The sequence below is a fragment of the Homo sapiens genome, chromosome 7 (genome assembly GCF_000001405.40).
Source record: "Homo sapiens chromosome 7, GRCh38.p14 Primary Assembly".
In the NCBI taxonomy this organism is placed as follows: domain Eukaryota; kingdom Metazoa; phylum Chordata; class Mammalia; order Primates; family Hominidae; genus Homo; species Homo sapiens.
Genome location: NC_000007.14, coordinates 2,251,149 through 2,269,329, shown reverse-complemented (window position 1 = coordinate 2,269,329; position 18,181 = coordinate 2,251,149). Strand labels below are relative to the sequence as shown.

Below are 18,181 nucleotides of genomic sequence, written 5' to 3'. Positions count from 1 at the left end.
TCTTAACGAGCATGCTGCCTTCAAGCATCTGTTTAACAAAGCACATCCTGCACCGCCCTTAATCCATTTAACCCTGAGTGGACACAGCACAGGGTTGGGGGTAAGGTCACAGATCAACAGGATCCCAAGGCAGAGGAATTTTTCTTAGTACAGAACAAAATGAAAAGTCTCCCATGTCTACTTCTTTCTACACAGACACGGCAACCATCCGATTTCTCAATCTTTTCCCCACCTTTCCCGCCTTTCTATTCCACAAAGCCGCCATTGTCATCCTGGCCCGTTCTCAATGAGCTGTTGGGCACACCTCCCAGACGGGGTGGTGGCCGGGCAGAGGGGCTCCTCACTTCCCAGTAGGGGTGGCCGGGCAGAGGCGCCCCTCACCTCCCGGACGGGGCGGCTGGCCAGGCAGGGGGGCTGACCCCCCCCCACCTCCCTCCCGGACGGGGCGGCTGGCCGGGCGGGGGGCTGACCCCCCCACCTCCCTCCCGGACGGGGCGGCTGGCCGGGCAGAGGGCCTCCTCACTTCCCAGTAGGGGCGGCCGGGCAGAGGCGCCCCTCACCTCCCGGACGGGGCGGCTGGCCGGGCTGGGGGGCTGACCCCCCCCACCTCCCTCCCGGACGGGGCGGCTGGCTGGGCAGAGGGGCTCCTCACTTCCCAGTAGGGGCGGCCGGGCAGAGGCGCCCCTCACCTCCCAGACGGGGCGGCTGGCTGGGCGGAGGGCTGACCCCCCCACCTCCCTCCCGGACAGGGCGGCTGGCCAGGCGGGGGGCTGACCCCCCCACCTCCCTCCCGGATGGCACGGCTGGCCGGGCGGGGGGGCTGACCCCCCACCTCCCTCCCGGATGGGGCGGCTGGCCGGGCGGGGGGCTGACCCCCCCCACCTCCCTCCCGGATGGGGTGGCTGCCGGGCGGAGACGCTCCTCACTTCCCAGATGGGGTGGCTGCCGGGCGGAGAGGCTCCTCACTTCTCAGACAGGGCAGCTGCCGGGCGGAGGGGCTCCTCACTTCTCAGACGGGGTGGTTGCCAGGCAGAGGGTCTCCTCACTTCTCAGACGGGGCGGCCGGGCAGAGACGCTCCTCACCTCCCAGACGGGGTCTCGCCGGGCAGAGGCGCTCCTCACATCCCAGATGGGGCGGCTGGCCGGGCGGAGGGCTGACGCCCCCCACCTCCCTCCCGGATGGGGCGGCTGGCCAGGCGGGGGGCTGACCCCCCCACCTCCCTCCCGGACGGGGCGGCTGGCCAGGTGGTGGGGCTGACCCCCCCATCTCCCTCCCGGACGGGGTGGCTGGCCGGGCAGAGACGCTCCTCACCTCCCAGACGGGGTCTCGGCCGGGCAGAGGCGCTCCTCACATCCCAGATGGGGCGGCGGGGCAGAGGCGCTCCCCACATCTCAGACTATGGGCGGCCGGGCAGAGACGCTCCTCACTTCCTAGATGTGATGGCGGCTGGGAAGAGGCGCTCCTCACTTCCTAGATGGGATGGCGGCCGGGCGGAGACGCTCCTCACTTTCCAGACTGGGCAGCCAGGCAGAGGGGCTCCTCACATCCCAGACGATGGGCGGCCAGGCAGAGACACTCCTCACTTCCCAGACGGGGTGGCGGCCGGGCAGAGGCTGCAGTCTCGGCACTTTGGGAGGCCAAGGCAGGCGGCTGGGAGGTGTAGGTTGTAGTGAGCCGAGATCACGTCACTGCACTCCAGCCTGGGCACCATTGAGCACTGAGTGAACGAGACTCCGTCTGCAATCCCGGCACCTCGGGAGGCCGAGGTTGGCGGATCACTCGCGGTTAGGGGCTGGAGACCGGCCCGGCCAACACAGCGAAACCCCGTCTCCACCAAAACCAGTCAGGCGTGGCGGCGCGTGCCTGCAATCGCAGGCATTCGGCAGACTGAGGCAGGAGAATCAGGCAGGGAGGTTGCAGTGAGCCGAGATGGCAGCAGTACAGTCCAGCTTCGGCTCCGCATGAGAGGGAGACTGTGGGGTGAGGGAGAGGGAGAGGGGGAGGGGGAGGGGGAGGGGGAGGGAGAGGGCCAAGGTATTTTTCTAACTTTGAAGAGTACATCCCTTTTTAACCAGAGAAACAAGTTTTAACCCTTCAAAGTGATTTTGCCTCCTCTGCGTGGCAGGGATTATGCTGACATCTGTCGCATGGTTTCCTCATTTAACCCTCGTTTCAGTTGCTCCGACACAGGGCTGGGAGGCCTGTTTTACGGATGGAGAAACAGGCTCAGGGAGGCTGTCATTTGCCAAGGCCCCGAGCCTCTAAGCAGCAGGGCCGGGTTGCGGCTGAGCTCTGCCCTCAGGCCCTCCAGGCACCTCGTGCCCTCTGCCCTTTTCTGTGACTCAGACAGACGGATGCTTGTGTCAGCACCTTTTCAGATTTCTGGGGATTCATTGTTACATTTGTTTATTATTAAATGTTTAAAGTTTGGTCTTTTTCCAAAAAAGACTAAGGTAGCTACTTGGTAGTTTTTTTGTTTTTGGTTTTTTCTTTTTAAACCTCTTCTTCAGGCTGGCGCGGTGGCTCCTTCCTGTAATCCCAGCACTTTGGGAGGCTGAGGCTGTCGGATCACTTGAGGTCAGGAGTTTGAGACCAGCCTGGCCAACATAGCAAAACCCCATCTCTAATAAAAATACAAAACAAAAAAGGAAAACAAAAAAAAGCAAAACAAACCCCAAAAAACCGGCCGGGCGTGGTGGCTTACGCCTGTAATCCTAGCACTTTGGGAGGCCGAGGCGGGTGGATCACGAGGTCAGGAGTTCAAGACTAGCCTGACTAACATGGTGAAACCCCGCCTCTACTAAAAATACAAAAATTAGCTGGGTGCGGTGGCGTGCACCTGTAATTCCAGCTACTCAGGAGGCTGAGGCAGGAGAATTGCTTGAACCTAGGAGGAAGAGGTTGGAGTGAGCCAAGATTGCGCCACTGCACTCCAGCCTGGACGACAGAGACACCATCAAAAAAAAGAAAAAAAAAATTAGCCAGGCTTGGTGGCAGGCACCTGTAATCCCAGCTATTTGGGAGGCTGAGGCAAGAGGACTGCTTGAACCCAGGAGGCAGAGGCTGCAGTGAGCCCAGGTCGTGCCATTGCACTCCAGCCTGGGTAACAGAGTGAGACTTTGTGTCAAAGACGACAACAACAACAACAAAAAAACCAGAAAAAAACCTGCTTCTTCATACAAAAATTAAAAATCTATTTTATTTTATTTTTTGAGACAAGGTCTTGCTCTGTCCTCTAGGCTATAGTGCAGTGGTGCAATCGTAGGTCATTGCAGCCTCGACCTCCTGAGTTCAAGCAATTCTCCCACTTCAGCCTCCCAGAATAGCTGGGACCACAGGCATGCACCACAGTACTTGGCTGATTTGTTTGTTTGTTTTTGGTATAGATGAAGTCTCACTATGTTGCCCAGGCTGGTCTTGAACTCTTGGCCTCAAGCAATCCTCCTGGCATGGCCCCCCAAAGTACTGGGATTAAAGGCATGAGCCACCATGCCTGGCCAAATCTTTTACCTTCATTTTACTCTCTGAGCTTTCTGTTTTCTGAACTCTGATAGTTAGTATCAAATCTTATAAAAAGTCTTTGGGAATAAACGCGGCATAGAAGAGGCCTTCCCCCCATGTGGAGAGTCTTTCAGGAATTTATGTTCATTGTGTTTAACTTGAAGATTGTTTGTTTTTATTTTTGTTGTTTTCTGGGGACAGGGTCCCCAGGCTGGAGTGCAGTGTTGTGATCATGGCTCCTTGCAGCATGGAACTCCTGGGCTCAAGTGATCCTCCTGCCTCAGCCCTCTGTAAGCACCTGGGACCACAGGCGCTCCACCACGCCTGGCTAATTTTTTGATTTTTTGGGAGAGATGGGGTTTCACTATGTTGCCCAGGCTGTTCTTAAACTCCCAGGCTCTAGCAATCCTCTTGCCTCAGTCTCCCAGAGCGCTGGGGTACAGGTGTGAGTCACTGTATCCAGCTAAAGATTAGTATTGTTAGTTTTTGAGACGGAGTCTCGCTCTGTTGCCCAGGCTGGGGTGCAGTGGTGTGATCGCAGCTCACTGCAAGCTCCGCCTCCGGGGTTCATGCCATTCTCCTGCCTCAGCCTCCCAAGTAGCTGGGACTAGGTGCCCACCACCAGGCTCGGCTAATTTTTTGTATTTTTAGTAGAGATGGGGTTTCACCATAGTCTCGATCTCCTTACCTCGTGATTCGCCCTACTCGGCCTCCCAAAGTGCTGGGATTACAGGCGTGAGCCACTGCGCCCGGCAAGATTATTATTCGAGTGTTTTGTTGGTTTGTTTGTTTTGAGACAGAGTCTCGTTCTGTCGCCCAAACTGGAGTGTGGTTGCGCGATCTCAGCTCACTGCAACCTCTGCCTCCCGGATTCAAGCAATTCTCCTGTCTCAGCCTCTGGAGTAGCTGGGATTACAGGTGCATGCCGCCATGCCCAGCTAATTTTTGTATTTTTAGTGGAGATGGGGTTTCACCATATTGGTCAGGCTGGTCTTGAACTCCTGACCTGAGGTGATCCACCTGCCTCAGCCTCCAAAGTGCTGGGATTACAGGTGTGAGTGACTGCCCCTGGCCTTATTTGAGTGTTTTTGGATAGGTCCTCCAGTGTGATGAGATTTCAGTGGACTCTGTGGTCCTCATCCCATGGGATCATTTGTCTTTGTGTTTGTGGCATGCAGGTGATGATGGTTTTTGTTTCTTTTTTGGACACACAGAGTGATCCCTGCAGGCCTGGAGGAGTGGGGCTCCCGGGGTGGCTCATGGACCTGCTGTGTCTCCCGTGGCTCAGCTTCTGGGGGACCGGCTGCTGCCGTCTGACAGGTGCTCCCCAGCGACTAACACAGTGTCTCTCCCCCCATCATGATGTCAGGACTTCCTCCCAGCTGACATCCAGGCTCAGTTTGCCATCAGCCGGGAGCTGATCCGGAACATCTACAATAGCTTTCACAAGCTTCGCGACAGGGCCGAGCGGATCGCATCGCGGGCCATCGACAATGCGGCAGATCTTCTCATATTCGGGAAGGAGCTAAGGTAGGTGACCTTTCAGCTTCTGCAGGGGCACGCGCGGTGGGACGGGAATCCATGCTGGTGAAGGGCTTGGGCGGAAAGTGCGTTTACCGTAATAACCAGCATCCTGACCTGTTTCATCTCAGAAGGGGCAGAAAGTGGCTCAGGCACATGGGGGGTCATATTTGGAAGAAACACGGGAGAATTTCGGCCCTGAAACACGGATTTCTGAGCACGAGTAAATGCTCACCAGTTTCTAGTCTGGTAGTTTTTTCACTGTCAGGATGAGACTTTAAAAAAAGATCCCAGGCCAGGCGTGGTGGCTCACACCTGTAATCCCAGCACTTTGGGAGGCCGAGGTGGGTGGATCACGAGGTCAGGAGTTCAAGATCAGCCTGGCCAAGATGGTGAAACCCGTCTCTACTAAAAATACAAAAAAAAGTTCTCTGGGCGTGGTGGCGGGTGCCTGTCATCTCAGCTACTCGGGAGGCTGAGGCAGAGAATTGCTTGAACCTAGGAGGCGGAGGTTGCAGTGAGCCGAGATCGCGCCACTGCACTCCAGCCTGGGTGATACAGCGAGACTCCGTCTCAAAAAAAAAAAAGATCCCTTTGACTTGGGGAAGAACAGACCATGGGCTGGCAGCGCTTCCTTTGCCTGAGGGGAGGGGAGACCCCACCCGGGACTCTGCTTGCCCCAGCAGTGCCCGTCACCTGTGCACACATGTCACCTGGGGGCTGGTTGGGAAGAAGAGACGCAGCAGGTCCTGAGGTGCAGCCCCAGGGCCACCCTTTCTCCCGGGCTCCCAGGGTCCCCACAGGCCACTCTTTGAGCAGCAGGGTCCTAGGACGGGGTCACGCAGGTTGCCGTGGAGGACATCTGTCGGGGGGGATGCCAGACTCGACTGCCAGGTGAGCTCCAGGCCTTGAGTGTCTCCTCTCCTGTGTGCTTGCTCCCTCAGTGCAATAGGGTCTGACACGACCCCGCTGCCCTCCTGGGCCGCTCTGAATAGCAGCACGTGGGGGTCCCTGAAGCAGGCTCTGAAAGGCCTGTCTGTGGAATTCGCGCTGCTCGCCGACAAGGCTGCACAACAGGTGAGTGGATCGGTTCTCCCAGGCGCCTGTTCCAGAGAACACGCTATGCCTTTGCATGGGGAGTGCCTCCTGCTTAGATGGGCGTCACAGTTCGTTTTTGTTTTGTTGTTTTGAGAAGGAGTCTCCCTCTGTTGCCAGGCTGGAGCGCAAAGGCGCAATCTCGGCTCGCTGCAACCTCTGCCTCCTGGGTTCAAGTGATTCTCCTGCCTTAGCCTCCTGAGTAGCTGGGATTACAGGTGTCCACCACCATGCCTGGCTAATTTTTTGTATTTTTAGTAGAGATGAGGTTTCACCATGTTCGTCAGGCTGGTCTTGAACTCCTGACCTTAGGTGACCTGCCCGCCTCGGCCTCCCAAAGTGCTGGGATTACAGGCGTGAGCCACTGTGCCCGGCCGGCTTCCCAGTTCTGAGCCGAGTGAATGACAGCTGTGCCCTGGGTGGGAGCTGCCCATCCACATCTGTTCCTGGTGGCTCCCTGGGAGCGTTTACGCTTTCGAGAGGGGGTTGCCAGCGACAAAACAGATTAGGCTGTAGTCTTGAGTGTTGATTTTGCTGAGGTTGGAAGACAGACTCTGTCTTTGAAAAGATGATCTTGGGCTTCCAGGCATACTCCTGGGTGGACCAGATAGTTCCCACTTTGCTGTCTGAGTCCACTAGGATTTGGCACTGGAGACTTAACTCATCAGAATAATAAAGCCCCAGCACCTGAGCGGCTCCCACCTCCCGCTCCACACACAACCTCAGGCAGTGCTCCTGCTGCATGGGCAGAAGCTGATTTCAGAAATTCGCCAAGATCTTGGAGTCATTTGGGATCAGTTTGAAGATACGGTGTTTACTATCACACTGGAAAGCTCATCTGGGTGCTTTTATGTTAAGAAAAAGTGTTACATGGCTGGGCACAGCGGCTCACACCTATCATCCCAGCGCTTTGGGAGGCTGAGGCAGGAGGACTGCTTGAGCCCAGGAGTTCAGGACCACCCTGGGCAACAGAGCAAGATCTCATCTCTATCAAAAATAAAAAAAAATTAGCCAGGGGTGGTGGTGCGTGTCTGTAGTCCCAGCTACTCACGAGGCTGAGGTGGGAGGATCACCTGAACCCAAGAGGTAGAGGCTTCAGTGAGCCATGATGGTGCCACTGCACACCAGCCTGGGCGACAGAGCGAGACCCTGTCTCAAAAACAAAAAAAAGTGGACATAGTTGTGAATGTGGGAGCTTGCTGCCTAGTTCCTATTTCTTGGGAAAGTGGCCTCCAGGCTACTCATATTAGTTTGAAGAGAGTGATCAGAGTGTGCCCGTGAGGGCTGTGCTTCCCCTGAGCCCCGGAGCTCCTGAGTGGCTTGGTGAATGGTGAACCCACCTGCTGTGGAGTCGGGGCTTTTTAAGCTGGAAACGGGGCGCTCAGGTGCCCGTGACGTTTTTCGTGCTGAAGAGGAAATTCGATGTCTTTGCTGGTGTGGAAAGTCTTGGGTTTTCTTCCTCTTCCGCCCCCGTGCTTCTGTGTTCCCTTTAGAAACGGAGGGAGGGCACTGTTGGTTTCTGTAGATTGGGGCTGAGTCTCTTCTGTCTCCAGGTCTGTGTGCCCACTCCCCCCAGGTGGAGGGGACCGAGAACGTGGGGCTGGGGGCTTTTCAGGATAGAGACAGAGGACCTCAGGGCCCTGCCCTATGCATTGTGTGTCTGTGCTGTGACCATGATCAAGCTATTCTGGTCTCCAGGCCTCAGTTTCCCCATCAATTAAATACAAGGGGGTTGGACTAGATTATTAAAACAGCTATTTCTTTTTTTTGTTTGTTTTTGAGACGGAGTCTCGCTCTGTCGCCCAGGCTGGAGGGCAGTGGTGTGATCTCGGCTCACTGCAACCTCTGCCTCCCGGGTTCAAGCGATTCTCCTGCCTCAGCCTCCCCAGTAGCTGGGATTACAGGTGTGCACCACCACACCCGGCTAATTTTTGTATTTTTAGTAGAGATGGGGTTTCACCGTGTTGGCCGGGCTGGTCTCAAACTCCTGACCTCAAGTGATCCGCCAGCCTCGGCCTCCCAAAGTGCTGGGATTACAGGCACGAGCCTCTGTGCCCAGCCAAAGGAGCTGTTTCTGTAATCTGCTGACCCTTTCCCCCAAGCTCAGTGTGCAAAGCATAAAAGCCATTCTTGTCACAGGGACCCAGAACCTTCCCACATTCCACTCCCTCTTCAGCAGGTGGCTGTTGGCGGGGTGCCCAGAGTGCCCTGGGGCTCTGCAGAGCTCAGGATGAGCATCACTCATGAGGTGATTTCCAAGGTTTTTTCTGATTCAGCCCTGGATGCCGCATTTCCACCTTGAAGAGGGAGAGAAGGTTGAGGCTTCTGGTGCAGTAGGAGTTTATGGCTTGAGGTTCTGCCCAGCTCTGTGACTCTTGGACATCTCATGAGTTGTGTTTTGGGACTGTGATGTCTGGAGAAGTGCTGTTTCCTGAATCTCTCTCACTGTCCTTGGTTGTAGTGAAATTGAGCTTTTACATGAAACAAACCTCGAGGCCTTTCATTTGATGCAGCAGAAGTTCCATCTCACCCTTGCTGTTCAGTCGGGGGCAGCGAGGACCGTTTTTCCTAAGTCTGCTTGTACTTACACCAGTTATACTCTCCCCAGACCTATTAGGAGCTGAAGGTAGCCATATCCCAGCAAGACACGTGAGACTCGGAGTAGGGTCTGTGTTTTCCATGGTGACGGGATCTTCGCCTTGGTTAAAGGCGCATGCATTAATGGTTTAGGGCACATTTGTCCAACCTGTGGCCCACAGGCTGCGTGTGGCCCAGGACAGCTTTGAATGTGGCCTAACACAAATCCGTAAACTTGGTTGGGTGCAGTGGCTCATGCCTGTAATCTTAGCACTTTGGGAGGCTGAGATGGGCAGATCACCTGAGGTCAGGAGTTTGAGACCAGCCTGGCCAACATGGTGAAACCCCATCTCTACTAAAAATACAAACATTAGCCAGGCGTGGTGGCGGGCACCTGTAATCTCAGCTACTCGGGAGGCTGAGGCAGGAGAGAATCGCTTGAACCTGGGAGGCGGAGGTTGCAGTGAGCTGAGATCATGCCACTGCACTCCAGCCTGGGTAACAGAGCAAGACTCTGTCTCAAAAAAAAAGCCAAATCTGTAAACTTTCTGAAAACATTATGAGATTTACACACAGACCTACCTACCTTCCTTCCTTCCTCTCTCTCTCTTTCTTTCTCTCTCTCTTTCTTTTTTCCTTTTTTGTTTTTTTTAGTTCATCAGCTATCATAGTGTTAGCGTATTTTATGTGTGGCTCAAGACAATTCTTCTTCTTCCAATGTGGCCCTGGGAAGCCAAAACATTGGACACCCCTGGTTTAGGGCCTTGTGCAGCACTGAACCACAGATGGGACTTGGTGACAAATGACACGAACAGAGGGACCCCTGAACTCCCCCTCTTCTGCTGGGCCAGGGAATAAGCCTACATTCTCCTGAGCCCCTGCCTGGTCAGGTGGGAGCTGGGCACCTGCGGTCAGCTGGCGTTTTCTCTCTAGAGTTTTAGAAACTCTTAACACACCTCTTCTCCTGGCACATTTTACTGGCTGGAATCCCAGCTGCTTTGGGTGTGGGGTTGGTGGCCGGGGAGCCTCCGGGTTCAGTCGGCCTGAGGTCTGGAGGGTGGAAGGGGTATCTTAGGGTCCCCTGGGGTGCAGCAGGGCCTGGGCGGCACCCCTGGCTCCCATTCCAGGGCTGTGTCCCGTAAAACTCGTTCCATCCACTTCTGCCTGCCCCGTCTCCTGCTGAGCTTGACGTGCAGTGCGTGGGGTGAGCTTTTCACCCCCTACCACGGGTGGAGCCCGAGGAATCGTGGAGGGAGCTTGGTCTCCCCGAGGTGCTCAGTGAGCTGTGGGGACTGAGGGCGTGAGCTGTGGGGACCGGAGCCCTTCAGGGCCCGGGTGTGACTGAAGGCGTCAGTGTCGGGGGTTTCCCCAGGATACCTGCCATCGGCCTGGCTTGGTTGCGGTTGTGGCTGGGGGGTCTGTGGTGAGCTGTGCAGGTCAGGGGTGGATGGGCTGCCGCTTCCGCTGCCTTCCCCAGACCCCTGCTGTCTCCAGAGCTTGGATGCTCCCCTCAGTGGCAGCTGGAGCCCAGGGCTTTGGACCGACTCTTCATACCGCAGATGCCTCTGAGCACCGTGTGTTCGGGCCGTGTGCACTGTGCCTGGCCTGCGCCCCCACCGAGGGCTGCTACTGGTGTAAGCCGGGGAGGCCGAGGCAGCGTCTGGGTGGGGTTCGCCCGTGGGGGCTGCTTCGTGTCCCCAGGTGCTGTGGTGACTCTGGGAGCAGGGCATCCCTCTGCCGTGATGGGGCCCCTGTTCCACTCCAGGGCTGCCCGCCGTTTGCTGTGCACTCACTGCCCTGTTGGGCTCTCTCTGTGGCTGTGCTGCCCGCACAGAGCCTTGTGTGAGGGCCGAAGAGGAGCCTGTGTCCACCGCTGCCCCCACCGCCGAGTGTGGTGCTTCTGCGTGCAGCCTGGGGCGGCCGCCTCTCTTCCTGGATCAGCAGCACGTCCTTCCTGCAGCTGCTGTCTCTCCTACCTACCCTGCGCCCCCTTCCCTGTGCCCCCTTCCTAGGCCTGCGTTTCTCTCTCCTGTTACTGATGCGGAGACAACACCCTTGTTCTCCTCCGTGCCCCTCCTGGGCGTGCCCGTTTTGCACACGGCTCACAGCGTTATATGGGAACTCGGGTTTTCTGCAGTGCTTGATGGAGCCTTAGGGGTCGGGGGGTCTGGGGCATCTGGCTCTCCCAGCATATGTGTTGGGAGAGTCGCCGGCTTTGCGAAGGCCTGAGAAAGGCAAGGCAGGCCGGGCTGATGAGCAGGAGGGCGGGCAGCTGTCCCGCGGGAACGCAGGCCTTGTTCCCATCAAGACTGCTGGGCCAGGCCCAGCGCGGTGGCTCACGCCTGTAATCCAGCACTTTGGGAGGCCGAGGCGGGCGGATCACGAGGTCTGGAGATCAAGACCATCCTCGCTAACACGGTGAAACCCCGTCTCTACTAAAAAAAGAAATACAAAAAATTAGCCGGGCATGGTGGAGGGCGCCTGTAGTCCCAGCTACTCGGGAGGCTGAGGCAGGAGAATGGCGTGAACCCGGGAGGCGGAGCTTGCAGTGAGCCGAGATCGTGCCACTGCATTCCAGCCTGGGCGACAGAGCGAAGACTCCGACTCAAAAAAAAAAAAAAAAAAAGACTGCTGGGCTCGAAGGCGTGTCCGCCTGGTAATGGGTGGGCTGGTGGGGAAGGGGGCCCCCTGCAGACCTGGCTGGTGGTCCTGGGGAGCCCGTCTGACTCTGGGAGGAAGGAACCGGCCCAGGCCAGGCTTGGGTCTGAGTTCCCGGGCAGGGACCGGGTCCTATGTGCGTCCGCGTGGGTGAGCTCCCCCTCGCCTTCCAGGGTAAGCAGGAAGAGAACGACGTGGTGGAGAAGCTGAACCTCTTCTTGGATCTGCTGCAGTCCTATAAGGTGAGTCTTGGCTGCTCCTTGGCTGGGGGCAGAACTTTCAGGAATGATCTTAGGATCCTTCAAGGGTCTAACTCCTGGGGGACGGAAGAGGAGCTGAGAAGCCAGGGCTGCAGGGGAAGACGGGGCCTTCCGTCTGGCGGGGGTGCTTCCCTCGGCCGGCTCCGCAGGGCCCTGGCGCAGGCATCCAGACAGCGGGCGAATGCCTCCCCCGGCCCCGCAGGACCTGTGCGAGCGGCATGAGAAGGGCGTGTTGCACAAGCACCAGCGGGCCCTGCACAAGTACAGCCTGATGAAGAGGCAGATGATGAGCGCCACCGCGCAGAACCGCGAGCCGGAGTCCGTGGAGCAGCTGGAGTCCCGCATTGTGGAGGTGGGTGGCGGGGCGGCCGAGCAGGCCCGTGGGAGCCTTTCCCCTCCCGGCCATGGTGGGACCCGGAGCCGTCCTGGTGGGCTCCCCTGGGTTGGCTCCTTGTGTCTGGAACAGAGCTGGGGGTGCAGTGGAGGCAGGGAGCTGGCCCGCGTGCCCAGAGCGATGCGGCTCCCTGCACGGTGCTCCCTCCCCGGCCCTCTCTTACCTCGCCACCTTCCAAATGCCTGGTGAAGGCTGAAGGAGAAGGGGCCGCCCTGGCTCAGGGAGCACGCTGGTGTTCGGGCCTTGGTGCTCCCGTCGCCGGCTGGGCCGGGTGCGAAAGGCGGCTGTTTGCTCCGCAGCAGGAGAACGCGATTCAGACGATGGAGCTGCGGAACTACTTCTCCCTGTACTGCCTGCACCAGGAGACGCAGCTCATCCACGTCTACCTGCCCCTCACCTCCCACATCCTCCGCGCCTTCGTCAACTCTCAGATCCAAGGGCACAAGGAGGTGAGTCCGCCCTGCTCCGGCCGCCGTCTCGGCCACGGCCTTTCTTTGTCCCTCCGCCCTTCCTTCAAGCCCGGCAGCGCGGTGGCCGGCCGCCCTAGAGAGGTTCTTTAGTGGAGTTGGGCTCCGCATGGGCCTTGGAACACGGTGCTCGCCCGGATCTTCTAGTCTCCTGTGTAGCCAAAATCAGAATCGTGAGGGTGTCCCTGTGATTCCTGGGGGGCGGAGGGAGGAGCAGACAGGGAGAGTTTGCCTCCTGGAGGGATTTGAGAAGTCGGAGGTAAAGCCCGCAGAGCTCCCGCACCCTGCGGCTGAGAGAAGGTTTCTAGCGCTTCGGAGCGCCGCAGGTGGCTGTTCTTCCAGAGAGCCCTGGCCGGCTTCCTCCAGAGCAGATGGCGGTTCCTTCAGCCTGGGAGAAGAAACGCTCCCAAGGTCCTGGGACAGGCCTCCGTTGATTTCTGGTGGCCAGCTCACTGCAGCACCGCTGGGATTACAGGCGAGCACCTTGTGCCCGGCTGAAATTAAGTTTATTAAGTAGCTGCAAGTAGCTTTCAAGCCATGGTCTGTGGTGTGTGTGGAATGGCACCGAGTGTCTGGGGTGGTCACGAGATTCCACACTGTCCCCGGGAGGTGCTTGGTGCCGTGGGTGCCGTCCAGCACTTTGGGAATGGCAGGCTGGAGGCGGCCGTGGTGGGGCTGGAGAGGCGGTAGACAGCCGCCGTGTTAGGAGCATCACTGTGAGATGGCCAGGGTCTCAGGGACCAGGTTGGACTTGGACATGTGAGTGGCCGGGTGTGTCCTCAGTGAAGGAATGGGACCAACAGGCGCCCGGAGCATGATGCCATAACCCCAGTCCTACCAGGTTTTTTATTGTGGTGGTGAGGAATTTCCAGCCCTGTGATGCTGTGTGCGCTGTGGTCCAGTGACTCAGCCTCCCCTGCAGGCCCCCAGGGTGCGCCCTGCCCTTCTCTGGCCACCTGAGCCCCTGCACGGCAGGTCTTGGCCTGACCCCTGCCTCACTGCCGCGCTCCCCTCCTCACATCCACAGCATCCGTTCCTTGCCCTGGTTCCAAAAGTGCTTGGCGAGTGGGGCCGCCGTTTGCATTCCGGTTTGGGTATTATTGATTTGGTGGATGTGGTCTTTGTGTTTTTGGTTTGCTTTTTGGTTTTGAGGTGGAGTCTTGCTCTGTCACCCAAGCTGGAGTGCAGTGGTGCAATCACAGCTCACTGCAGCCTCAACCTCCCGAGTAGCTGGGACCACAGGCAGGTGCCACCACATCCGACTCATATTTCTGATTTTCTGTGGAGACAGGGTGTCCGTGTGTTGCCCAGGCTGGCCTTGGTGTTTGACCTGCCAAGGCTTCCATGAGGCCAGTGCCCGCACGGCAGCTAGAGCATGTACTGGCAGTGACGCGATAGTAACGTTTCTCACGATTCCACGGCAGGCAGATTTGCAGCCCTTTGGTCCTGGGTGCAGGGATCGAAGCGTGGGTGTCTGTGACCACAGGTCACATGTCGCTGGTCCACTCCTCATTTGGGCTTCCTCTGTGCAGGATGGGCAGCACTGGTTCTGCCAGAGGTTTGAGGAGCTGGCGCACCTGAGGGCCCCTCCCTCCCTGTCACTGGCAGGCGAAGGAACTGGGATCAGAGCGTGAGGAGGAGCCCCGGCCCCGCCTGCTGATCTTGTTCTCTTCGCTTCCCTTTCAGATGAGCAAGGTGTGGAACGACCTGAGGCCCAAGCTCAGCTGCCTCTTTGCGGGACCACACAGCACCCTGACCCCACCGTGCTCCCCGCCGGAGGACGGCCTGTGTCCTCACTAGCGCCTGAGGCTGAGGTGGTGCTCCCTGCGGCCGCACTAAAACCTCTTTCCAAACGGTGTGTCCCGGTGTAATTCCCTTTGGACGGCAGCTCCCCTCCCCGCCACGCCCCGTGCTGCAGCTGGAGCAGAGGAGCTCACGCCTGCGGGTCGGGAGGCGCATCCGTGGACCATGGGGGCAGCTGGGCCACACTGTCCTTCGCCCTGTGGCCTGCTAGCCTGGTCGAGAGAGGTGGTGGGGTTCTCTGGAATGGTTTCCTCCTGACACCCAGAGCTGTGCGGGGAGGCAGGGATCTCTCATCTCACAGAGATTGTGCCTGGGGGAGCGTGGAGGCAGGGCCTCCAGGTGCTGGAACAGTCGGGAGGGGCAGCATCATGGTGCTCGGTCAGCCGAGGAGAGAGGGCAGGGCTGCCCTGCAGCCCAGGCATGGGACTGACCACGGACAGCGAGGGGACAGCCAGTGGTGCTGAGGCTGGGAGGGAGGGCCATTGGGCGTGGGGCACGCACGGTGAATTTTCTAGGGAAATTGCTGCAGTCAACACCTGGAGCCCTGGTCTGGGAGTGGCCTGTGGGGTCCAGTGGCCTCATGCCCTGTGCCCATATGATGACCCCATGTGTGCCTGTGTCCACACCATGACCCTGTGTGTGCCCAGGCCTGGAAGACAAAGGCGTGACGGAGAGCTGGGGCTCTGAGAGTGGGCGCTACAGCAGCTGTGTTCTCGTCCCCTGGACTCCCTTGATTTCTGGTGGCCAGTGTTGGGGTCTGCACCGTGTGGCACTGAGGCTGGATGGGCTGGCAGAGGACAGGTGGGGGCGTGGGGGGGCGTGTTCCATTCCAGCTGAGGCTTTAGAGGAGGGACAGCCCCCTTTTAAGTGGATTTCCTTCTCTGAGGCACCTAGAGCCCTCCTCCCAGCCTCCCGTCACGCACTTGCCGGCCCAGCCACCTGCTCACAGAGGGAACCAGTGGTCTTTCAGGCCCCTTCCCTGCTCTGGATGAAGAAGGCCATTCTCCTGAGCTCTGTGGGGCTGGACTGTCCGCCTCAGGCCTGGGTCTGCTTCTGCCCGAACCCCTTTTGTGGAAGGTACATGGGAGCCCAGTGGACCCCTGCACTTCTCCGGAGCCTGACGCCCCTCCCTGGCCGGGGAGGGGTGCTGGAAGAGGCCCGCCGGGCTCCAGGGTTTCCGAGGTCCCTCCGCTCCGCAGATGCTCACTGGCCTCTGGGGCGTTCACTCCTCTCACGGAGGGTGCTTCCCTTCCGCCTGTACCTACGGGCAGCTCACGGCCGTGGGATGGAGAGGGGACTCCTGTGTGTGCCCCGCAGGCAGGTGATCCATCGTCCACTGCGAGCCGGCCAGAGGGAACGGCCGTGCCTTCTGGCCCCGTGGGCTGTGCTGACTCGGTGGCTGTGGGGCTCGGGCCCAGCCTGCCCTGCCCTGTGGGTTCTGCTGCTGCCTTCCTGCTGTGAGGTGGGCTGCTTCCTTCTGGCCAGATGAGCAGAGGGCAGCGTTCCCTTTGGAGCCCGATGGGTGGGCTGTCCCGTGAGTCCCTAGTCCACCCGAGTCTTGGGCTGCGCTGCCTTCTGACGCCCCTCTGCAGAGACAGGTTCTCAGTTGCCATGAATGGCACCATGACACCCGAGCCATGAAGCGTGACCCCGTGTGGGCAGAAGGCTGCAAGGCCTCTCCGTCCACCCCGCACCTTCCTGGGGCCTGTCCAGCTGCAGGACCATAGAGGCTGTGGGGAGTCGTGGAGGGCATCAGGTGCTGGGGCCTCTGTGTCTCCAGAGTAGGCAAGGCACGCGCTCCTGACAGCCCCCAAGGATTGAGCAAGACTTCAGAATGAGCTTTTCTGAAGGAGCTTTCCTGGCAGGGACTCCGGGGTCAGTGAGTGTATGAGAGGCCACATACCTGGCGGCATCTCCCTGTGTTGGAAACTTCAAGAGCAGGGTCTCAGGGTCCTCATGTCCAGAGGCTGAGGATGGAGGTGGAAGGCTGGAGGGCAGGGGTGAGGAGGGAGCAGGAGGGCAGGAGTTGGGGGAGCAGGAGGGCAGGGGTCAGGAGAACAGGAGAACAGGGGTAAGGGAGGGCAGGGGTGAGGGGGAGCAGAAGAGGGATGAGGGGGAGCAGGAGGGCAGGCGTTGGGACAGGAGGGCAGGGGTGAGAGAGCAAGGGGGCAGGGGTGAGAGAGCAGGAGAGCAGGGGTGAGGAGAGCAGGAGAGTAGGGGTGATGGGGAATAGGAGGGCAGGGGTGAGGAGGGAGCAGGAGAACGGGTAAGGGAGGGCAGGGGTGAGGGGGAGCAGGAGGGCAGGGGTGAGGAGAGAGCAAGAGGGCAGGGGTGAGGAGAGCAAGAGGGCAGGGGTGGGAAGGCAGGAGGGAGGTGGGGGGGCAGGAAGGCAGGGGTGGGAGGGTCAGGAGGGCAGGGTGAAGGGGGGGCTGGAGGGCAGCGGTGACGAGGGCAGCCTGTCTCCCACGTGTGGTGGCTGCTTCCTGTGTGCCCTGGGGTTGGCTCTGTGGAGGGGTGGGCACTGGCTTTGGAACACCTCCCTCCCCTTCCTCCTCTGCCACCCAGTGCCTTCTAAAGGGCAGCAGAAAGAGGCCTGCTAGGCAGGGGTGGCGGAGGCCACCTTCCTTCTCACAAATACTTCTTGGCCCTGGCCCTGTGCTGCCCGGGCAGGTCCCCAGGCTCAGGGGCTGAGAGGCTGCTTACTGCTGCAGGTGGAGGCCCCATGCCGGAGGGAGAGCGGGGTTCCCCCCATGCCTCTCCAGCCCTCCTGCTGCCCACGGCCCAAGCCCAAGCTTGTGCCGGTCATTACGGCCTTGCCTAGCTGGCAGGGACAGCTGCGTGTGATGCTGGTGGAGATGCCAGATGCCGCCTGCCCTGTGAGGACGGCTGGCGGGGCCGTGGGAGGGGGGTTGTGGGCTGGCGGGGCTGTGGGAAGGGGGCTGCCGATCATGGTGAAAGGGGACATTTTCATTGGGTCCTCGTGGTCCGTGTCCTGGGTACTCGGGGTCACCGTGCAGACAGCTGCCCTTTGTCTGCCGGACACAGTGCAGGCAGGGGAGACAGGTTTAGGGCTCTGACATGGGGCACAGGGACTCCGAGCCAAGGGATGTCAGGGCAGCTCTGTGCATCTGAGGCCTTTGCCCTTGCTTTGCGGGTCAGTTCATGTCCAAAGCACTTTAGGAGGCTGCAGGGATCAATACCCAATATACCCAACAACTGGAATTGTTTACACATGACCTACATTTTGGACGGTTTATCAATAAACATGTGTGAACAACTGTTATTAAACGTGTATGAAAGTTGGGCAGGGGAGGGGACTAGCCTATGAGGCGTTCAACCTGGGTTTTAGCCCAGAGCCCTTGGCCGAGCCTCAGCTTCCCACACTGTGCAGGGGGGTTTTAAGAGGACACATCCCCAGCTTGTGGCACTGAGCATGTGTGTCTCTGCCCTGGGCCAGCTGCCCACCTCGGGGACAGAGTCTCCATCCTCTCCCACCTCTGTGCAGCAGTGCGGGCTGAAGCCCAGCACATCTGGTAGCTTCCTGTGGACGGGACCTGGCAGGCTGTGCTGGTGTCTGGAGAAGAACGTTTGAAAGGTTAGAGACCGGCCGGGTGCAGTGGCTCACGCCTGGAATCCCAGCACTTTGGGAGGCTGAGGCAGGTGGATCACCTGAGGTCAGGAGTTCAAGACCAGCCTGGTCAACATGGTGAAACCCCATCTCTACTAAACAGACAAATATTAGTTGGGTGTGGCAATGTGCGCCTGTAATCCCACCTCTTCGGGAGGCTGAGATGGGAGGATCGCTTGAACCTGGGAGGCGGAGGTTGACGTGAGCCGAGATCGTGCCATTGCACTCCAGCCTGGGCAACAGAGAGAGACTCCATCTCCAAAAAAAAAAAAAAAA

The 18,181-nt window shown here is 59.0% G+C and overlaps 1 protein-coding gene and 1 non-coding gene across 6 annotated transcripts in view, besides 5 other annotated features; both read left to right on the top strand.

The window, feature by feature from the left end:
- The window catches only part of SNX8 (sorting nexin 8), a 102,728-nt gene extending 85,168 nt beyond the window's left edge, over positions 1 to 17,560 (top strand). For all 5 annotated transcript variants that reach the window (XM_017012084.3, NM_013321.4, XM_011515329.3 and 2 more), the window contains exons 6-11: positions 4,872 to 5,032; positions 5,968 to 6,100; positions 11,527 to 11,595; positions 11,816 to 11,965; positions 12,307 to 12,456; positions 14,161 to 17,560. In XM_017012084.3, coding sequence (XP_016867573.1) covers positions 4,872 to 5,032; positions 5,968 to 6,100; positions 11,527 to 11,595; positions 11,816 to 11,965; positions 12,307 to 12,456; positions 14,161 to 14,274 — 777 coding nt within the window. In that variant the 3' untranslated portion in view covers positions 14,275 to 17,560. The remainder of the gene's footprint in view (positions 1 to 4,871; positions 5,033 to 5,967; positions 6,101 to 11,526; positions 11,596 to 11,815; positions 11,966 to 12,306; positions 12,457 to 14,160) is intronic.
- Positions 9,859 to 10,638: an enhancer, noted in NCBI's record as "H3K27ac-H3K4me1 hESC enhancer chr7:2298327-2299106 (GRCh37/hg19 assembly coordinates)". NCBI's record gives its function as "activates a minimal SCP1, AML or CMV promoter by ChIP-STARR-seq in primed H9 embryonic stem cells {active_cell/tissue: H9 hESC(primed)}" and the evidence as "EXISTENCE:reporter gene assay evidence [ECO:0000049][PMID:30033119]".
- Positions 9,869 to 9,938: an enhancer, noted in NCBI's record as "active region_25517". NCBI's record gives its function as "activates an Ori minimal core promoter by ATAC-STARR-seq in GM12878 lymphoblastoid cells {active_cell/tissue: GM12878}" and the evidence as "EXISTENCE:reporter gene assay evidence [ECO:0000049][PMID:35858748]".
- Positions 10,449 to 10,538: an enhancer, noted in NCBI's record as "active region_25516". NCBI's record gives its function as "activates an Ori minimal core promoter by ATAC-STARR-seq in GM12878 lymphoblastoid cells {active_cell/tissue: GM12878}" and the evidence as "EXISTENCE:reporter gene assay evidence [ECO:0000049][PMID:35858748]".
- Positions 10,639 to 11,418: an enhancer, noted in NCBI's record as "H3K27ac-H3K4me1 hESC enhancer chr7:2297547-2298326 (GRCh37/hg19 assembly coordinates)". NCBI's record gives its function as "activates a minimal SCP1, AML or CMV promoter by ChIP-STARR-seq in primed H9 embryonic stem cells {active_cell/tissue: H9 hESC(primed)}" and the evidence as "EXISTENCE:reporter gene assay evidence [ECO:0000049][PMID:30033119]".
- On the top strand, positions 11,753 to 11,815 carry MIR6836 (microRNA 6836). The gene has a single exon (NR_106895.1). It is a non-coding gene; the product is annotated as a microRNA 6836 (primary transcript).
- Positions 16,816 to 17,165: an enhancer, noted in NCBI's record as "active region_25515". NCBI's record gives its function as "activates an Ori minimal core promoter by ATAC-STARR-seq in GM12878 lymphoblastoid cells {active_cell/tissue: GM12878}" and the evidence as "EXISTENCE:reporter gene assay evidence [ECO:0000049][PMID:35858748]".
- Positions 17,561 to 18,181: the final 621 nt, after the last annotated feature.